The 9,144-nt window shown below is 35.5% G+C and overlaps 1 annotated feature.

Annotated features, from left to right (window-relative positions):
- Positions 5,655-6,508: an enhancer, noted in NCBI's record as "OCT4-NANOG hESC enhancer chr21:10705779-10706632 (GRCh37/hg19 assembly coordinates)". NCBI's record gives its function as "activates a minimal SCP1, AML or CMV promoter by ChIP-STARR-seq in naive H9 embryonic stem cells {active_cell/tissue: H9 hESC(naive)}" and the evidence as "EXISTENCE:reporter gene assay evidence [ECO:0000049][PMID:30033119]".

The raw sequence follows: 9,144 nt of genomic DNA, 5'->3' as shown, positions 1-9,144 counted from the left end.
CTGAGAAACTTCTTTGTGATGTGTGCATTCATCTCACAGTGTTGAAACTTTCTTTTGATTGAGCAGTTTGGAAACGGTCTTTTTGTACAATCTGCAAAGGGATATTTCTGAGCCATTTGAGGCCTACTGTGAAAGAGAAATATCTTCATATAAAAACTAGCAAAAGCATTCTGAGAAACTTCTTTGTAATGTGTGCATTCATCACACAGAGTTGAAACTTTCTTTTGATTGAGCAGTTTGGGGACAGTCTTTTTGTATAATGTGCAAAAGGATATTTGTGAGCCCTTTCAGGACTGTGGTGAAATAGGGAATATCTTCACAAAAAAACTAGACCGAAGCTTTTGGAGAAACTTCTTTGTGTTGTGTGCTTTCATCTCACAGAGTTGAACTTTTCTTTGATTGAGCAGTTTGTAAACATTCTTTTTGTAGAATCTGAAGATGGATATTTGCAGCATTTCAGGCCTATGGTGAACAGGAAATTTCTTCACATAAAAACTAGACAGAAGCATTCTGAGAAACTTCTTTGTGATGTGTGCATTCATGTCACAGAGTTAAAACTTTCTGTGGATTGAGCAGTTTGGAAAGAATTCTTTTGCAGAATCTGCAAAGGGATGTTTGTGAGCCCATTGGGGCCTATGGTGAAATAGGAAATGTCTTCACATAAAAACTAGGCAGAAGCTTTTTGTAAAACTTCTTTGTACTGTGTGCTTTCACCACAAAGAGTTGAACCTCTCTTTTGAGTGAGCAGTTTGGAAACACTCTTTTTGTAGAAATTGCAAATGGATATTTGGAGTGCTTTGAGGCCTATAGTGAAAAAGAAAATATCTGCATTTAAAAACTAGACAGAAACTTTCTGAGAAACTTCTTTGTGATGTGTGCTTTCATCTCACAGATTTGGACCTTGCTTTTCATTGAGAAGTTTGGCAACAACTCGTTTTGTAGAATCTGCAAAGGGATATTTGTCAGCAGTTTGAGGCCTATGGTGAAAAAGTAAATATCTTCATCTAAAACCTAGACAGAAGCATTTTGAGAAAACTCTTTGTGATGTTTGCATTCATCTCACTGAGTTGAACCTTTCAGTTCATTGAGCAGTGTGGAAACATGCTTTTTGTGCAATCTGCAAAGGAATATTTGTTTGCGGTTTGAGACCTATGGTGAAAAAGTAATAACTTCAAATAAAAACTGGACAGAAACATTCTGATAAACTAATTTTGCATGTGTGCATTGATCTCACAGAGTTGAACCTTTCTTTTGATGAAGCAGTTCGGAAACAGTTTTTTGTAGAATCTGAATAGGGATATTTGTGATCCCTTTGAGGCCTAAGGAGAAATAGGAAATATCTTCACATAAAAACTAGACGGAAACTTTCTGAGAAAGTTCTTTGTGACGTGGGCTTTCATCTCACAGATGTGAAACTTTATTTTGATTGAGCAGTTTGGAAAGAGTCTTTTGTAGTATCTGCAGAGGGCTATTAGTGAGCGGACAGGCTTACAGTGAAAAAAGAAGTGGCTTCTCAAAAAAACTATACAGAAGAATTCTGAGAGACTTCTTTGTAATGTGTGCATTTATCTTACAGTGTTAAACCTTTCTTTTGATTGAGCTTTTTGGAAACACTCTTTTTGTAGCATCTGCAAGAGTATACTTCTGAGCCCATTGAGACCTATTTTGAAATATGAAATATCTTCACATAAAAACTAGATAGAAGGTTTCTAAGAAACACTTCTGTGAAGTGTGCTTTCATCTCACAGAGTTGAACCTTTCTTTTCATTGAGCAGTTTGAAAACACTCTTTTTGTAGAATCTGCAAGTGGATATTTGGAGTGCTTTCAGGCCCATGGTGAAAAAGGAAATACCTTCACATAATAACCACACAGAAGCATTCTGAGAAACTTCTTTGTGATGTGTGCATTCATCTCACAGTGTTGAAACTTTATTTTGTTTGAGCAGTTTAGAAACAGTCTTTTCCTGCATTCTGCAAAGGTGTATTTCTGAGCCATTTGAGGTCTATGTGAAAAAGAAATATCTTCATATTTAAACTAGACAGAAGCATTCTGAGGAACTTCTTTGTGATGTCTCCATTCATCTGACAGATTTGAAGGTTTCTTTTAATTCACACTTTTGAAACCATATTTTTGTAGAATCTGCAAAGGGATATTTTTGAGACATTTGAAGCTTATAGTGACATAGTAAATATCGTCACATAAAAACTAGACAGGAGAGTTCTGAGAAACTTCATTCTCATGTGTGCATTCACCTCACAGAATTTAAGCTTTCTTTTGATTGAGCAGTATGGAAATGGTTGTCTTTTAGAAACTGGAAAGGGATATTTCTTAGCCCTTTGAGGCCTATGGTGAAACTGGAAATATCTTCACATGAAAACTAGACCGAAGCTTTCTGAGAAAGTTCTTTGAGATGTGTGCTTTCATCTCACAGAGTTAAAACTTTCTTTTGATTCAGCAGTTTGGAAACACTCTTTTTGTGATATCTGTAAATGGATATTAGGAGTGCTTTGAGGTCAATGGTGACAAAGGAAATATCCTCACATAAAAACTAAACAGAAATTTTCTGAGAAATTACTTTTTGATGTGTCCATTAATCTAACAGAGTTGAAACTTTCTTTTTATTGAGCAGTTTGGATACAGTCTTTTTGTAGAATCTGCAAAAAAATATTTGTGAGCCCTTTATTGCCTATGGTGAAATAGGAATTTTCTTCACATATAAACTAGAAAGAAGCATTCTGAGAAACTTCTTTTTGATGTGTGCATTCATCTCACATAGTTGAAACTTTCTTTGGATTGAGCAGTTTGGAAACAGCCCTTTTGTAGAATCTGCAAAGGAATATTTCTGAGCGCATTGAGTACTATGGTGCAATGTGAAATATCTTCACATAAAAACTAGAAAGAAGCTTTCTAAGAAACTTCTTTGTGATGTGTGCTTTCATCTCACAGAATTGAAACTTTCTTTTGATTGAGGAGTTTGGAAACACTCTTTATCTAGAATCTGCAAATGGATATTTTGAGCGCTATTGAGGCCCATGGTGAAAAACGCAATATCCTCACATAAAAACTAAACAGAAGCTTTCTGAGAAACTTCCTTGTAATGTGTGCATTCATCTCACAGAGTTGAACCTTTCTTTTTATTGAGCAGGTTAGAAAGAGGTTTATTGAACAATCTGCAAAGGGATAATTCTGATCATTTTGAGACCTATGGTGAAAGAGAAATATCTTCACATAAAAACTAGACAGAATCATTCCAAGAAATTTCTTTGTGATGTGTCCATTCATCTCACAGAGTTGAAACTTTCTTTTGATTGAGCAGTTTGGAAACAGTCTTTTTGTAGAAGCTTCAAAGGGATATTTGTGAGCCCTTTATGACCTCAGGTAAAATAGAAAATATCTTCACATACAAACTAGAGAGAAGCTGTCTGAGTAACTTTTTTGTGATGTGTGCTTTCATCTCACAGAGGTAAAAATTTGTTTTGATTGATTAGTTTGGAAGCAGTCTTTTTGTTGAATCTGCAAATGGATGTTTGGATTGCTTTGAGGCCTATGTTGAGAAAGGTAATATGTTCACTAAAAACAAGACAGAAGACTGGATTAAGAAAATGTGGCACATATACACCATGGAATACTATGCAGCTATAATAAATGATGAGTTCATGTACTTTGTAGGGACATAGATGAAATTGGAAATCACCATTCTCAGTAAACTATCGCAAGAACAAAAAACCAAACACCGCATATTCTCACTCATGGGTGGGAATTGAACAATGAGAGCAACATATGGACACAGGAAGGGGAATATCACACTCTGGGGACTGTTGTGGGGTGGGGGGAAGGGGGAGGGATAGCATTGGGAGATATACCTAATGCTAGATGACGAGTTAGTGGGTGCAGCACACCAGCATGGCACATGTATACATATGTAACAAACCTGCACATTGTGCACATGTACCCTAAAACTTAAAATATAATAATAATAAATTAAAAAACTAACTTTGAAAGAAATAAAAAAGTGTTGAAAATAAAAAAAAAAGATTCCTGAGAAACTCCTTTGTTATGTGTGCATTCATCTCACCAGTTTGAAATTTTCTTTTGATTGAGCAGTTTAGAAACAGTCTTTTTGTACAATCTACAAAGTGATATTTCTGAACGGTTTGATGCCTATGGTGAAAAAGAAATATCTTCACATAAAAACTAGACAGAAGCATTATGATAACCTAATTTATTATGTGTGCATTCGTCTCACAGAGTTGAACATTTCTTTTCATTTAGCAGTTCGAAAACTGTCTTTGTAGAATCTGCAATGGGGTATTTGTGAGATCTTTGAGGCTCATGGTGATATAGGAAATATCTTCACAAAAAAAGTAGAGAGAAGCATTATGAGAAACTTCTTCGTGATGTGTACTTTCTTTTCACAGATTCGAATCTTTCTTTTAATTGAACAGTTGGAAACTCTCTTTTTGTAGAGTTTGCAAAAGGATATTTGGAGTGCTTTGAGGCCTATGGTGAAAAAGGAAATATTTTCACTTAAAAACTAAACAGAAGCTTTCTGAAAAACTTCTCTGTGATGTGAGTATTCATGTCACAGTGTTGAACCTTTGTTTTCATTGAGCAGTTTGGAAACAATCTTTTTGTACAATCTGCAAAGGAATATTTCTGAGCAGTTTGAGGCCTATGGTGAAAAACAAATATCTTAACACAGAAACTAGACAGAAGCATTCTGAGAAACTTCTTATTCATGTGTGCATTCATCTCCCAGAGATGAATCTTTCTTTTCATTGAGAAATTCGGAAACAATCTTTTGTAGAATTTGCAAAAGGATATATGTGAGCCCACTGAGGCCCATGGTGAAATGGGAAATATCTTCACAGAAAAACTATACAGAAGCATACCGAGAAACTTCTTTGTGATGTTTGCATTCATCTCACAGAGTTGAAATTTTCTTTTGATTGAGCAGTTTGGAAAAACTCTTTTTGAAGTATCTGCAAATGGATATTTGGAGCACTTTGTGGCTTGTGGTGAAAAACTAAATATCTTCACATAAAATCTAGTGAGAAACTTTCTGAAGAACTTCTTTGTGATGTGTGTTTTCATCTCACAGAGTTGAAAATTTCTTTTGATTGAGCAGTTTGGAAACACTATTTTGTAGAATCTGCAAATTGATATTTGGATTTCTTTGAGGCCTATCGTTAGAAGGGAAATATCTTCACATAAAAACTAGACAGAAGATTTCTGAGAAACTTCTTTGTGATGTGTGCTTTCATCTCACAGACTTGAACTGTTCTTTTGATTGAGCAGTTAGGAAAAATTCTTTATCTACAATCTGCAAAGGGATATTTCTGAGGGGTTTGATTCCTATGGTGAAAAAGAAATATCCTCCCATAAAAATTAGACAGAAACATTCTGAGAAACTTCTTTGTGATGTGTGCTTTCATCTCACAGGTTTGAGCCTTTCTTTTGATTGAACAGTTTGGAAACAGTCTTTTTGTACAATGTACAAAGGGATATTTCTGAATGGTTTGATGTCTATGGTGAAAAAGAAATATCTTCACAAAAAAACTAGACAGAAGCATTCTGAGTAACTTCTTTTTTATGTGTGCATTCGTCTCACAGAGTTGAACCTTTCTTTGCATGGAGCAGTTCGAAAACAGTCTTTTTGTAGAGTCTGCAAAGGGATATTTGTGAGCTCTTTGAGGCCTATGGTGAAATATGAAATATCTTCACATAAAAACCAGACAGAAGCATTATGAGGAACTTCTTTGTGATGTGTGGTTTCATCTCACAGAGTTGAACCTTTCTTTGCATTTGACAGTTTAGAAACAGTCTTTTTGTACAATATGCAAAGGGATGTTTTTGAACGGTTTGAGGCCTATGGTGAAAAATAATTATGTCAGATAAAAACCAGACAGAAGCATTCTGAGAAACTTCTTTTTCATGTGTGCATTTATCTGACAGAATTGAACCTTTCTTTTCATGTAGCTGTTTGGAAACAGTCTTTTTGTAGAATCTGCAAATGGATATTTGGAGCACTTTGAGGCCTGTGGTGAAAAAGGAAATATCTTCACATAAAAACTAGACAGAAGCATTCTGAAAAACTTCTTTGGATGGGTGCATTCATTTCACAGAGATGAAGCATTCCTTTGATTGAACAGTTTTCAAGTAGTCTTTTTGTAGTATCTGCAGAGGGATATTTGGGAGCCATTTAAGGCCTATGGTGAAAAAGGAAATAACTTCACATAAAAACTAGACAGAGGCATTCTGAGAAACTTCTTTATGATATGCGCATTCATCTCACAGAGTTGAACCTGTCTTTTCATTGAGAAATTTGGAAACAGTCTTTTTGTACAATCTGCAAAGGGATATTTCTTAGCTCTTTGAGGCCTCTGGTGAAAAAGTCATATCTTCACATAAAAACTAGGCAGAAGCCTTCTGAGAAACTTCTTTGTGATATGTCCATTCATCTCACAGATTTGAAACTTTGTTTTGATTGAGTTGTTTGGAAACAGGCTTTTTGTAGAGTCTGCAAAGGGATATTTGGAAGACCTTTATGGCTTATGGTGAAATAGGAAATATCTTCACATAAAAACTAGAAAAATATTCTGAGAAACTTCTTTGTGATGTGTGCTTTCATCTCACAGAGTTGAAACTTTCTTCTGATTGAGCAGTTTGGAAAGAGGCCTTTTGTAGTATCTGAAAAGAGATATTTTTGAGCCCATTGAGGCCTATGCTGAAAGAGGAAATATCTTCACATATAAGCTAGAAAAAAACTTTCTGAGAAAATTCTTTGTGATGTGTGTTTTCATCTCACAAAGTAGAATCTTTCTTTTCATTGAGCAGTTTAGAAGCAGTCTTTTTGTAACAGCTGCATAGGGATATTTCTGAGTGGTTTGAGGCCTATGGTGACAAAGAAATATCTTCACATAAAACTAGACAGAAGCATTCTGAGAAACTTCTTTTTTAGGTGTGAATTCATCTCACAGAGTTGAAACTTACTTTTCATTGAGCAGTTCTGTAACAGTCTTTTTGTAGAATCTGCAAAAGGATATTTGTGAGCCCCTTGAGGCCCATGGTGTAACAGGAAATACCTTCACTTAAAAACTAGACAGAAGCATTCTGAGTAACTTCTTTGTGATTTGTGATTTCATCTCACAGAGTTGAACCTTTCTTTTGATTGAGCAGTTTGGAAAACCTCTTTTTGCACAATCTGCAAAAGATATTTGGTGCACTTTGTGGACTATGGTGAAAAAGGAAATATCTTCATATAAAAACTAGAAAGAAACTTTCTGAGAAACTTCTTTGTGATGTGCACTTTCTTTTTATTTTATTTTATTGTTATTATACTTTAAGTTTTAGGGTACATGTGCACAATGTGCAGGTTAGTTACATATGTATACATGTGCCACACTGGTGTCCTGCACCCATTAACTCATCATTTAGCATTAGGTATATCTCCTAATGCTATCCCTCCCCCCTCCCCACACCCCACAACAGTCCCCAGAGTGTGATGTGACCCTTGCTGTGTCCATGTGTTCTCATTGTTCAAATCTCACCTATGAGTGAGAACATGTGAGTGTTTGGTTTTTTGTCCTTGTGATAGTTTACTTAGAATGATGATTTCCTATTTCATCCATGTCCCTACAAAGGACATGAACTCATCACTTTTTATGGCTCCATAGTATTCCATAGTGTATATGTGCCACATTTTCTTAATCCAGTCTATCATTGTTGGACATTTGGGTTGGTTCCAAGTCTTTGCTATTGTGAATAGTGCCACAATAAACATACACGTGCATGTGTCTTTATAGCAGCATGAAACCAACAAGAACAAAGACACAACATACCAGAATCTCTGGGACACATTCAAAGCAGTGTTTAGAGGGAAATTTATAGCACTAAATGCCCACAAGAGAAAGCAGGAAAGATCCAAAATTGACACCCTAACATCACAATTAAAAGAACTAGAAAAGCAAGAGCAAACACATTCAAAAGCTAGCAGAAGGCAAGAAATAACTAAAATCAGAGCAGAACTGAAAGAAATAGAGACAAAAAAAAACCCTTCAAAAAATTAATGAATCCAGGAGCTGGTTTTTTGAAAGGATCAACAAAATTGATAGACCGCTAGCAAGATTAATAAAGAAGAAAAAAGAGAAGAATCAAATAAATGCAATAAAAAATGATAAAGGGGATATCACCACTGATCCCACAGAAATACAAACTACCATCAGAGAATACTACAAACACCTCTATGCAAATAAACTAGAAAATCTAGAAGAAATGGATAAATTCTTCGACATATACACCCTCTCAAGACTAACCCAGGAAAAATTTGAATCTCTGAATAGACCAATAACAGGATCTGAAATTGTGGTAATAATCAATAGCTTACCAACCAAAAAGAGTCCAGGATCAGATGGATTCACAGCCGAATTCTACCAGAGGTACAAGGAGGAACTGGTACCATTCCTTCTGAAACTATTCCAATCAATAGAAAAAGAGGGAATCCTCCCTAACTCATTTTATGAAGCCAGGATCATCCTGATACCAAAGCCTGGCAGAGACACAACCAAAAAAGAGAATTTTAGACCAATATCCTTGATGAACATCGATGCAAAAATCCTCAATAAAATACTGGCAAACCGAATCCAGCAGCACATCCAAAAGCTTATCCACGATGAACAAGTGGGCTTCATCTCTGGGATGCAAGCCTGGTTCAATATATGCAAATCAATAAATGTAATCCAGCATATAAACAGAACCAAAGACAAAAACCACATGATTATCTCAATAGATGCAGAAAAGGCCTTTACAAAATTCCACAACCCTTCATGCTAAAAACTCTCAATAAATTAGGTATTGATGGGACATATCTCAAAATAATAAGAGCTATCTGAGAAACTTCTTTGTGATGTGTGCATTCATCTCACAGAGTTGAACCTTTCTTTTGATTGGGCAGTTTGGAAACAGTCTTTTTGTAGAATCTGCAAAGTGATATGTTTCAGTGGTTTGAATCCAATGGTGAAAAAGGAAATATCGAAAAATAAAATGTAGACAGCAGCTTTCTGAAGAACTTCTTTGTGATGTGTGCATTCATCTCACAGGGTTGAATTTCTTTCAATTCACCAGTTTGGAAACAGTCTTTTTGT

Source organism: Homo sapiens, chromosome 21 (genome assembly GCF_000001405.40).
Source record: "Homo sapiens chromosome 21, GRCh38.p14 Primary Assembly".
Lineage (NCBI taxonomy): Eukaryota > Metazoa > Chordata > Mammalia > Primates > Hominidae > Homo > Homo sapiens.
This window is presented reverse-complemented; position numbering and strand designations above follow the sequence as displayed.